This window comes from Homo sapiens, chromosome 7 (genome assembly GCF_000001405.40).
Source record: "Homo sapiens chromosome 7, GRCh38.p14 Primary Assembly".
NCBI lineage: Eukaryota > Metazoa > Chordata > Mammalia > Primates > Hominidae > Homo > Homo sapiens.
The window spans coordinates 140,606,426-140,619,406 of record NC_000007.14 but is presented as its reverse complement, the minus strand read 5'-3'; the positions used below and the strand labels follow the sequence as shown (position 1 = coordinate 140,619,406).

General features: G+C 45.5%; 1 protein-coding gene across 4 annotated transcripts in view; it reads left to right on the top strand.

Annotated features, from left to right (window-relative positions):
• DENND2A (DENN domain containing 2A) overlaps positions 1-12,981 on the top strand; it is a 123,042-nt gene that overhangs the window by 22,054 nt on the left and 88,007 nt on the right. The window lies entirely within an intron of this gene.

The following is a 12,981-nucleotide window of genomic DNA, read 5'->3' as shown; positions in this document are numbered from 1 at the left end:
GTCAGCAGTCACTCCTTATTCCTCCCACCCACCCACTCCTAACCTCAGCAATCACCAGCCTACTTTCTGTCTCTATAGAATCGTAGTCTTCTTAAACATAATTTAATTTACATTATAATATTCCATTGAATAGCTGTATTCCACTGAATAGCTAAATTATAGTCTACATTACCATTACATTGCTTAACTTTTGAGTAGCTTTTAACTTTTCAATATTATAAGTAACAGCTATGAATATTTATGCAAACACTTTTTACATCCTTAGGATTTTGTTAGGATATATTCCCAAAGTATAGAAATATATAATCAGGCCGGGCGCGGTGGCTCATGCCTGTAATCCCAGCACTTTGGGAGGCCGAGGCGGGCAGATCACGAGGTCAGGAGATCGAGACCATCCTGGCCAACACAGTGAAAACCCATCTTTACAAAAAATACAAAAAATTAGCTGGGCGTGGAGGCGGGCGCCTATAGTCCCAGCTACTCTGGAGGCTGAGGCAGGAGAATGGCGTGAACCCGGGAGGCAGAGCTTGCAGTGAGATTGTGCCACTGCACTCCAGCCTAAGCGACAGAGCAAGACTCCGTCTCAGAAAAAGAAAAAAAAAAAGGAAATATATAATCATACAACCGTAAAAAAACAGATCCAAACACACCAAAAAACTTTCTCCCATCACACTTAATTAACAAATGTTTCTGAAGTGTGGTATGGTGTAGAAGTATAAAACAGTTGCTGATCTTGAAGAGGTGAGCAAGACAGACATTCGTAATGATGAGCTAGAGTCTAGTTCTAGTCTATATTAGATATGAGACCACGGGAATATTGTCGAAGGAGCACTAGACTTGGATTCAAAACATAGACCCATTACTTGTGAGTTATTGTATGAGCTTAAACATGTGACCTAACTCCCTGAGGCTCAATTTCTTCATCACAAAAAAATGATAGGAACACTAACATTGATTTCTGTAGAGCTGAGAAACAAAAAGGGTTTCTTAGCTGGGTTTCCGGCCTACCTGAGAACAGAGAGAAGGAAGACCAAGTTTACATATTTGAAAGTTGAAATAAGTTGGAACCTGACTCTTCCCTGTTTGGCGATCTGTAATACACAAAAGAAACAAAAGGAAGTGTACTTTTTTATTCAAAAAATACATTTATCTGAATTCAGACTATTAAACCATATTTTACCTGTATTAGCATATTTCATAACTTTTATAACTCATGCTTTAATGATTTATGGCAAACTCATACTAGCCTTGATCAGAGAGGTGACCCTGGCAGTTATTGAGCATTAACTCTGGAGGACTGACGCCACTGAGTCTTTCTACACACTGTAATTTAGTGTTCCTATCCAAGATGGCCACTAAATTGCACTTCTTCTATTTTCACCCTCTGGAGAATGGTAAAAAGCATGATTTGCAAATATTGTCAAGTCCAAAGTGTGTTTCTAAACTACTAAGCTAGCCAAATGCATCTCTATATGTTACAATGTTCTGCAGATGTGAAAAAATCCTTCCCGGGTTTATGAAAGTGAGAATGATATGCATCTTTAGCTGCCTCTGGCATCCGGCACGTCACACAGTGTGGTCAGTCCAGTCAGGCTGCCCGAGCCACAGATTCCCAGCGGCTTCATTTGTCAGACAAGCTGACAGGTGTTGGTCAGGAAAATACTGATCAAGTTGTTTTTGTTGTTGTTGTTTTGAGACAGGGTCTCACTCTGTCACCCAGGCTGGAGTGCAGTGGTGCGATCTTGGCTCACTACAACCTCTGCCTCCCAGGTTCAAGCGATTCTCCTCCCTCAGCCTCCCGAGTAGCTGGGATTACAGGTGCCCACGACGACACCCAGATAATGTTTGTATTTTTGTAGAGACGGTTTCACCATGTTGGCCAGGCTGGTCTCGAACTCAAGTGATCCACCCGCCTCGGCCTCCCAAAGTGCTGGGATTACAGGCATGAGCCACTGCACTGGCCTTCAAGATGTTAAAAGAAAGTATTATTGTCAATGACTGAGTATTTATAAGGACAGAAATTCCTGAAATTACTCCGTTGATGCTCCTGGTCCTGAGGCCTCCTTTAGAGTACGGGGGAGCCTTGATATTGAAGGCCATGGAGGGAAGAATCAGCAGAGCAGCATCTCCAAGCATCAGCATCTGGGTTCCAGGAAAAGGTGCACGCACTTTGTGCTGGTAGCACCTGCGTCAGATTCCCAAGATGCTCTGAAACAGAAGCATTTACTGGAGTAAAATACTGCCTTACAGGCTGTGCACAGTGGTTCACGCCTGTAATCCCAGCATTTAGGGAGGCCAAGGCGGGCAGATCACCTGAGGTCGGGAGTTCGAGACCATCCTGGCCAACATGGTGAAACCCCATCTCTACTAAAACTACAAAATTCAGCTGGGCGTGGTGGCACACGCCAGGAGTCCCAGCTACTCAGGAGTCTGAGGCACAAGAATCGCTTGAACCCGGGTGGCAGAGGTTGCAGTGAGCTGAGATGGTACCACTGCACTCCAGCCTGGGTGACAGAGCAAGACTTTGTCTCAAAAAAATAAATACTGCCTTACAAAGGAGAGGGCAAAATAGAGTATTTCTGATGCTGACTGACAATGCAAGTGACATGAAAATAGCCCCCATGATTCAACTCTAGGCCAGCAACTCTTATTACTATGCCTGTGAACTCTTTGGGAAACTTACAAATATAAATTCCTACATCCTACTCTGGTAGTCAGCTTTGTTTGGTCTAGGGTGGGTCCAGGACTCCTCACTTTTAGTAATTGTCCCTGCCGATTCTTTTTTTTAAATAATGGCTTTATTGGGATATAATTCACTTACCATAAAATTGACTCTCATAAAGCATATAATTTAGTGGTTTCTAGTATACTGACTGTGTTGTGTAACAACCACCACTCTATAATTTTAGAACATTTCCATCATCCTGCCCCCAAAATCCATACCTATTAGCAGTCACTTCTTACTTCCCCGCCTCACTTAGCCTCTGGCAACCACTAATCTACTTTCTGTCTCTGTGGATTGGCCTATTCTTTTTTTGTGTGTATGTGATGGAGTCTCGCTCTGTCGCCCAGGCTGGAGTACAGTGGTGTGATCTCAGCTCACTGCCACCTCCACCTCCTGGGTTCAAGCGATTCTCCTGCCTCAGCCTCTAGCTTAGGTTACAGGCGCCCGCCACCACACCTGGCTAATTTTTATATTTTTAGTAGAGATGGGGTTTCACCATGTTGGCCAGGCTGGTCTTGAACTCCTGAGCTCAGGTGATCTGGCCACATCATCCTCCCAAAGTGCTGGGATTACAGGCATGAGCCACCACGCCCGGCCAGGATTGGCCTATTCTGAAATTTCTTGAGAATTGAATTACACAATGTGTGATCTCTTGTCAGTGGCTTCTCTCACTTAGTATAATGTTTTCAGGGTTCATCCATGTTGTAACATGTATCTCAACTTCATTCCTTTTTATGGCTGAATACTGTTCCATTATATGTGTAGACCACTTTTGTTTATCCAGTTATTTGTTGGTGGACGCATTAAGCATAAGAAAAATGATATGTAGGCCTGGGTTCAGTGACTCACACCTGTAATCTTAGCACTTTGGGAGGCCAAGGTGTGTGGATCACTTGAGCTCAGGAGTTCAAGACCAGCCTGGCCAACGTGGCAAAACCCCAAAACCCCATCTCTACAAAAAAATACAAAAAAAAAAAATAGCCGGACAGGGTGGTGCGCTCTTGCCTCAGTCACAGCTAGCTGAGGGGCTGAGGCAGGATTGCTTGAACCAGGAAGGTTGAGACTGCAGTCAGCCAAGATTGTGCCACTGCACTCTGGCCTGGGCGACAGAGCGAGGCTCCGTCTCAAAAAAGAAAAAAAAAAAAAAAAGCAGAACTCCTAGAAATGGGCAGACTTTGGTTGTTAGCAGAGAAGTTGTGCCTTTGGTACTGCCTCCATCTACCTGGTGTCGTGCTCTAAGGACTTGATGTGCGGTGCTTTTGTGCAGGCACAGTTTAAGCATTTGGTCCAAGAAGGGTGCAGGCCGCAGTTTTGCCAAATATGTCCCCCGGTGTTGTTCTGAGGCAGCACAGAGCCTTTGGCTTCTCTTATTCCTCATCCGTTTCAGATTCCTCTGTCTTCTTCCAAATGCAAAAATACTGGTTTGTTTTTGAAAATATAACGAATCAGATAAATAAATAAAGTTATGTATAGGCCTAGAGCAACCCATTTTAATTTTTTTAAAACCTTTTCATTGGCTAGGTGCAGTGGCTCACGCCTGTAATCCCAGCACTTTGGAAGGGCAAAGCAGGAGGAGTGCTTGAGGCCAGGAGTTCGAGACCAGCCTGGGCAACATGGTGAAACACTGTCCCGACAAAAAATATGGAAATTAGCCAGGCGTGGTGGTGCACACCTGTAGTCCCAGCTACCTGGGGCGGTAGGGAGCTGAGGTAGGAAGATCACCTGAGCCCAGGGAGGTCGAGGCAGCAGGGACCTGTGACTGCACCACTGCACTCCATCCTGGGCAACAGACCCTATCTCAAAAAAAAATTTTTGTTTGTTTAAAGAAAATGAGGAAAATGAAGCATCAAGACTCCAGAATGAGCTGCACTATGTAGTTAGACATAGCAAGAGTTGTATTACATTGATTGTGTGCTTTTATTTCTCAAGTTGTTTTTGGAAACAAATAACTTCTAGATATGTTTGCTAAGAATGCTCAGACAAGAAAACAGCTATTTTTGTTCTACTGTAATTGTTGTGGTTTCTTCTCTATTTTTTGCCTGCTCTTCATAAGCTGATAAAACTAAGAGATATTGGAATCATTAAAGCTGAATAGCCCATGGCCTTATTTGCAACACAAAAACTATTTAAAATGTAATTTTATGAATATGTAATCATTTACAATCCTGTAAACCAAAAAATGACTGAGGCAGCTCAATTAATTTAGAGGTTTATTTTGCCCAGGTTGAGGATACCCCTGGGAAAAAGAAACACAAGTCACAGTAAGATCTGTCTCCTGGCCAGGTGCGGTGGCTCACACCTGTAATTCCAGCATTTTGGAAGGCCAAGGCAGGTGGATCACTTGAGGCCAGGAGTTCGAGACCAGCCTAGGCAAGGTGGCAAAACCCCATCTCTACTAAAAATACAAAAATTAGCTGGATGTCTTGGTGCACGCCTGTTAATTCCAGCTGCTCAGGAGGCTGAGTTACAAGAATCACTTGAGCCCAGGAGGTAGAGGCTGCAGTGAGCCAAGATTGTGCCACTGCACTCCAGCCTGGGTGACAGAGTGATTCTGTCTCAAAAAAATAAAAAATAAAAAAATAAAAAAGATCTGTGTCTCCTGTGCTTTTTCCAAAGAGGCTTTGAGGACTTCAGTGTTTAAAAGGGAAACAGTGAGCAGGAGGGGAAGGAGGAAAAGAAAAAAGGGGAGAAGGGTAGGTGATGAGGCAAGTGGTCACATTCTGATGAGGCTCTGATTGGTGCTCAGTGAATCCACATTTTCCATGGGAAAAGAAGGGAATGGGGAAAAGTCAGTAGTGCATTCATCCAGCTCTCAGTTGGTCTGCATTTGACACCAGATAAAGTTAGCATGTGAAATTACAGCTGTCGTGGAACAAAAGGAAGGCAGTTTTTTTGTGTGTGACTCAGTTCCTAAGCTGTTATTTTCCTTTTGGCATAGTGAGTTGGAGGTCCTGAGATTTTATTTTTGTTTCACAATCTAAGCTGTAGTTTTTTGTTTGTTTTTTTTTTTTAATTTTAAGGGTGGCTGCTCCATAGGCAAAGCAGGGCTACCCCATAGGCAGAGTAGCCTAAACTATTTTTTAGGAGGTGGGATCTTGCTGTGTTGCCCAGGCTAGAGTGCAGTAGCTTTTTTTTTTTTTTTGAGACAGAGTCTCACTCTGTTACCCAGGCTTGAGTGCAAGGGTGTGATCTCGGCTCGCTGCAACCTCTGCCTCCTGGGTTCAAGTGATTCTCCTGCCTCAGCCTCCCAAGTAGCTGGGACTACAGGTGCACACCACCACGCTCGGCTAATTTTTCTATTTTTAGTAGAGATGGGGTTTCACCATGTTAGCCAGGCTGGTCTTGAACTCCTGACCTCAAGTGATCTGCCTGCCTTGGCCTCCCAAAGTGCTAGGATTACAGGCGTGAGCCACTGCACTCAGCCTGCAGTGGCTATTCACAGGTGCGATTATAGCTCACTGCAGCCTCAAACTCCTGGTCTCAAGCAGTCCTCCTGCTTCAGCTCCTCCAGTAGCAGGGACTACACGCTTGCATCACTGTACTCAGCTAAACCTTTTTTTTTTTCTTGAGACAGAGTTTCGCTCTTGTTGCCCAGGCTGGAGTGCAATGGCTTGATCTTGGCTCACTGCAACCTCCGCCTCCCGGGTTCAAGCCATTCTCCTGCCTCAGCCTCCCAAGTAGCTGGGATTACAGGCATGCACCACCATGCCTGGCTAATTTTGTATTTTTAGTAGAGACAGCGTTTCTCCATGTTAGTAAGGGTGGTCTTGAACTCCTGACCTCAGGTGATCCACCCGCCTCAGTCTCCCAAAGTGCTGGGATTACAGGTGTGAGCCACTGCGCCCGGCCCTCAACCTTATTTTTAAATTTAGTGTAACAGGGCTGGACGCAGTGGCTCATGCCTGTAATCCCAGTACTTTGGGAGGCCAAGGTGGGCGGATCACTTGAGATCAGGAGTTCGAGACCAGCCTGGCCAATATGGAGAAGTCCTATCTCTACCAAAAATACAAAAATTAGCCAGGTGTGGTGGTACATGACCATAATTCCAGCAACTTGGGAGGCTGAGGCAGGAGAATCGCTGGAACCCGCGAGGTGGAGGTTGCAGTGAGCTGAGATTGCACCATTGCACTCCAGATCGGGCAACAGAGTAAGACTCTGTCTCAAAAAAAAAAAAAATTAGTATAACAAATATGATCCTTTTGGTGTCAAGTTATATATAATACATATTTACTTATGCTTCAGAGCTAACATAATCAAGTTTAGATCAGTAAAGGGCACTGGAAATTATAATTGTGTGGATTTTATTCCTCACTCCACCTCTTCCCCTGCGCATATATCTTATTTTTTTCACGGAATATACACTGTACTTACATAATTTATTTCCACTGAGATAGAATGCACATAACATTCACCATCTTTTTTTTTTTTCCTTTTTTTTCTTGAGACGGAGTTTCGCTCTGTCATCCAGGCTGGAGTGCGATGGGGCAATCTTGGCTCATGGCAATCTCCGCCTCCCAGGTTCAAGCGATTATCTTGCCTCAGCTTCCCAAGTAGCTGGGATTACAGGCATGTGCCACAACACCCAGCTAATTTTTTGTATTTTTAGTAGAGACGGGGTTTCACCATTTGGTCAGGCTGGTCTCGAACTCCAGACCTCAGGTGATCCACCTGCCTCTGCCTCCCAAAGTGCTGGAATTACAGACGTGAGCCACCGCACTCAGCCAACATTCACCATCTTAAACTGTACAGTTCAGTGGCTTGTGGTGTATTCACCGCATTGTGCAACTATCACCGCTATGAAATTTTAGGACATTTCTATCATTCCAAAGAAACCCTCACCTATTAATAGCAACGAGGAACAATTTCTCCCTTCTCTACCCCTGGCAATCACTAATCTACCATCCGTCTCTGTGAATTTGCCCGCTCTGGACATTTTATATAAATGGAATCATACAATATGTGGCCTTTTGTGTCTGGCTTCCTTCATGTAGTAGGTTTCTTTAGTTCACCAATGTTGTAGCATGTAACAGTGCTTCATTCCTTTATGTGACTGAATTCCATTGTACAGATAGACCACTTTTTAAAATCCATCAATTGACCAACGCTTCCACATTTCATTTTATATTTATGTATTTATTTATTTTGAGACAGGGTCTCGCTCTGTTGTGTAGGCTGGAGTGCAGTGATGCAATCAAGGCTCGCTGCAGCCTCAACCTCCCAGGCTCAAATGATCCTCCCCCTAAGCCTCCTGCGTAGCTGGGGCTACAGATGTGCACCACCACACCTGGCCAATTTTTTTATTTTTTATTTTTTGTAGAGATGGGTTCTTGCAATGTTGCCTAGGCTGGTATTGAACTCCTGGGCTCAAGTCATCTTCCTGCCTCAGCCTCCCAAAGTGCTGAGATTACAGGTGTGGGCCACTGTACCCAGCCCATTTTATATTTAAATCACTTCTTGCTTTAAGATTTAAAGAGAGGCCAGTTGTGGTGGCGCATGCCTGTAATCCCAGCTACTTGGGAGGCTGAGGCAGAATCGCTTGAACCTGGGAGGTGGAGTGGCGGTGAGCCGAGATCATGCCATTGCACTCCAGCCTGGGCAACAGGAGTGAAACTCGTCTCAAAAAATAATAATAATAATAACAGTGCTCTGTTATCAGAAGCAGCGGTCCGAGAGGCCAGGCCTCAGGCCACTAGTTGATGTCTTGCTGGGCTCCTAGCCCTTAAGGCTGTGCTGGCTTCACCAGGCTGGTGTTTCCAGATTGCCTTTGCTGGATTCCAAAAATGGCAGCAGAAGAAAGACAGCAATGGGGCAGGCCCAGCAGGATTCTAAAGGAGCTGCCGGGTCCTCCTGAGGGCTCCGCTCCTCTCCCCTCAGGCATAGCCCGCTTCTCTTGGTCCTCCTCCAAATGCCACAGGTCCACAGCCGCTCCTGTGAGAACTGCCCTTGGGACCTGATCTTGTTTATTTCCTCTTCCTACTTGTGGGAAAACACTTTATATCTGTTTTAAATTCTTGACCTTTTTTCTGAGAGCTATTTGTTGTGTAATTAATGACTTGACATTTTAGAATTCTAAGCCCCTTTAAAAAACAAAAAACAGTGTGTTCAGAGATAAGCCTGGAAGGAACTGTAAAATTATATACATATATATATATAAAATCTAGCAATGTCAGTCTGGAGCAATTAAGTTGTCTGGGCTTTTGAGGCTGATCAGAAGCATCTCACTATGAGATCTCTTGATCTCTCTCTCTCTCAAAATTAAGGGTAATTCACAGACGTAATTGGGAGTAAGAGGATCTCTCAGCATCAGCTGGCCAAGAGAGTAGACCGCAGTACCCAACAGGATTAAAAATTGAGGGAGACTCTCCCATCTGGCTTTTTTTTTTTTTTTTTTCCTTAAGACTAGTTAAGTGAGGCTGGGCACAGTGGCTCATGTCTGTAATCCTAATACTTTGGGAGGCCAAGGTGGGAGGATTGCTTGAGCTCAGGAGTTCAAGACCAGCCTAGGTGACATAGTGAAACCCCATCTCTACTAAAAAAAATTTTTTTTAATTAGCCACATGTGGTGGTGCATGCCTGTAGTCCCAGCTACTCAGGAGGCTGAGGCGGGAGGATCGCTTAAGCCCAGCAGGTTGAAGCTGCAGTGAGCCATCATCACACCACTGTACTCCAGCCTGGGTGACAGGGCGAGACCCTGTCTCCAAAAAAAAGAGTAATTGAAAAAAACCCACAAGTGTCAAATGCAGTAGTGAGAAGGGGGGAAGAGTAGAATAAAGAGTTGGATGCGTAACTGACTGTGAATAATCAATTCAGTTGACTCACTGCCTTCAGACCAGTCCCACCCAGCTTCTTAACTTCTGAACCCTCCAGTCAACATGATGTCAATGCCCAAAGAAAATTCTTGAGCCAAGAAAAGATTTTACAGTATTCACTTCAGCAAGAAGAACAACAGGGTTAGATTATGGACTGGGTTGATAAACATAATCAGCTATAGATGTTAGAATTTTAAAAATATTTTTCTTCAACTTATAGGACTTAGTTTCTGAAACTTACAGAAATGTTCAAGCCTACAAAAAATATATGAACTCTTGTGTACTCATCAGCTACCTTCAAAATTTTGTAGGACTTTTTAGTCTAATTAATTTTTTTTGTTTGTTTTGAGACAGACTCTCAAAAAAGAGTCTCACTCTGTTGCCCAGGCTGGAGTACAGTGGGGCGATCTCGGCTTACTGCAACTTCCGCCTCCTGGGTTCAAGCGATTCTTCTGCCTCAGCCTCCCGAGTAGCTGGGATTATAAGCGCCCACCACCACGCCCACCTAATTTTTGTATTTTTAGTAGAGACAGGGTTTCCCCATGTTGGCCAGGCTGGTCTCAAACTCCTGACCTCAAGAGATCCGCCCGCCTTGGCCTCCCAAAGTGCTGGGATTATAGGCATGAGCCACCATGCCCAGCCAGTTAATTAAAATTATTAGTAATAGCCCATCTGGTTAATGGGAAGTTCTATTTTTATGGAAAGCAGTTGAGTGGGAAAATGTGTTATTACTATCAATCATACCATTATCTCTCTTGGAATATAGTCTACTTGGATCACAAGACCAAATTGTCTAAAAAGAAATAAGGAACCTTGGGTTGTGTAAAAACTCAAGCTGTCATGAAGCCCAGCCCTTTGATTTCTTGCGAGCAAGAGATGCCCATGCCAGGACATTGGCCTCTGCGACCTTTGATTTACCATATTTAAATGCAGATTCCAGAGCAGCCCTCAGACTGTTGGCTTTGGTACGTCTTGGTACATCGAAGAGGTGCCCAGGAATCTGCATGTCTGACAGGGTCCCCAGGTTGACTGGAACTGATCCCCCATGGACCACACTTTGGAAAATGGTTCTATCTCACAATCCCAGACTATAAAGTGATAATGAAGTTTATCATGGTAATTTAAGTCACAGAGCACTCCCAACTAGCAAATTCGGCTGGGTTCGTTACTTAATTAATGATTTTTTTTTTTTTTTTTAAGACAGAGTCTCACTGTGTCACCTGGGCTGGAGTGCAGTGGTTCAGTCTCAGCTCACTGCAACCTCCATCTGCTGGGCTCAAGCAATCCTCACACCTCAGCCTCCCGAGTAGCTGGGACTGCAGGCATGCACCAGCACACCCGGTTAATTTTTGTATTTTTGTAGAGACGATGTTTTGCCATGTTGCCCAGGCTGGTTTCAATCCCCTGAGCTCAAGTGATCAGCCCACCCCGGCCTCCAAAAGTGCTGGAATTACAGGTGTGAGCTACCATGCCCAGCCAGTTAACAACTGCTAATCATCAGAGACAAAAAGGGAAAGGTCAGTTTTTTACAGCAGCATTTTTAATATCTTTGTGAATTCAGAAATGCTGGTGGACTGATTGCTGAGTGTTCAGGGGGGTTCTATGCCCCCTCAGTGCCAGCCTCTGAAGCCCCCTGCACTTGCTTCTCAGTATATGGCATCAGCCATTTCTCTGGAGATCATGGTTTTCATGCTGGAAGTTATTACTCCCTGATGGGAAGTGAGTTCACTTAAGTATCATGTCATTTAAGTGCTTTTTGTGATCTTTGACCTCCAAGTTCATACATCCATCTCTGTGCATTCGACACAGTGGCCTTTTTTCCTTTTGGAAAAGCTGTACTTCCTGAGAACTATAGGGAAACTGTTTTCTTGAGGGCATGGGGGGAGTTACAGGATTGATTGTGACCCAGGCACAGCCCTGGTGCTCTCGATGACGGCAGAGACTCTTACTCATCTTTGAGTCCTTCGGTGCATCCTGCACACAGCCTGGCACCTTGTCCTAGTGCCAGTGAAAGGGGAAGCCAGCTTGGAAGAGAGCTGCTGGCTCATATGGAACAAGGTTGGATTCTTGTGGGTTTGGTCTGTGTGGAGGGTGGTGGCGGTGGTGGGGAGGGGCTGTTCTCCCTGACGTCCACTGGGGCCCTCTGCCAGATGCCGGACAGAAGAGTAGTGTCTGTGGGCCCAGCCAAGTGGAGGGACTCCAGAAGCTTTCAGCTCTGCAGAGCTTTGTGAGAGGGAAAATGAGTTCCTTCCTGTCCCTGAAAGGCCTTTCAGGGCTACCCTGCATGACGGGATGGGCAAGCCCTGGGGCCTGGCTTCTTTAAAGAAGTAGGCTCAGTTACAACATAGATAAGCCCCACAATGTCTGGTGCTGAGTTGCTGGATAGGGGAACAGCTGAACTCCATGGACAGGCCAGAGCTCCATGCTCCTGTCCACCCACACACACACAGTTGGCAGATGTGTCTGTTCCCTTCCTTGCTCCCCCAGCTCATGGTTCCCCAGCCTCCCTCTTGTTCATTTGTTACCCATGTGCACTCTCCTTTTCTTTTTCTCTTTCTCTCTGGACTTCCTCCCTTCCTCTCCTTGTTCCCAAGAGCTATCTGCATGTCTTGAAGTTCTGCCCTTTGATTACTCGGGAGGGAGAGGATGCCCAGGCCAGGACATCAGGCAGCCATCCCATCACCTAGCAGGGAAACCATCCTGGGAAATAGGGTAGGAATCCTGGAAACTGAAGAAGGAGTTGGGAGAGGGCTTCCCTGGAAACGTAACGTAAATACCCAGTATCTTGATATGCCTTGAGCTCTAGTCAAGGAGGTGGCTCCTCTCCACTAGGGAAGACCAGCTGGTGTTCATGCCTTACAGAAGAACTGCGTGGCCCATCCTGTTGGCCTTCTCTGATGGGCCCCATCTTGTCAGCACCTTCACCTGAGCCATGTCCATTTATGCTCATGTTGGGAGACACTTCTTCCCAAAGAGTTCTGGAAGGACTTGCTATGAAGCAATGAAGTTTAATCAGTTACTTCAGTTTATATGGGGGCCAGGCACCAGAGTCTTCAACTGCTACTTCTGAGCTGAGGCTGCTGCCTTGGTATCCACACAGGCCTTGCTATTTGGGGGGTTTAAGGAACTCAGTGGGATTCCTGGGTTTGCCAAGACCATCTCCTGGTGTTCCTTAGACCAGACAGATGACCTCGTGACTGGCTGTTTCTTCCTCCTCAGTTTGGAGGAGCTGGGAGGGGCTCCCCATGGGGTGCTCTGCAGACAAGGGCAGTGTGGGTTTAAACTCCCAGTGTCAGGGTTCGCAGAAGGGTAGAGTATCCCTGTGAAGACAGTTCCACTTTGGTGTGTGGTTTATGTCTTGTGTCAAATAAAAGGGCAACTACTTTCTTCTTTGGGGACTATTAGCTCATCACAGTGGTTCTTAGAGACCCTAAAAAAGCACTGGGT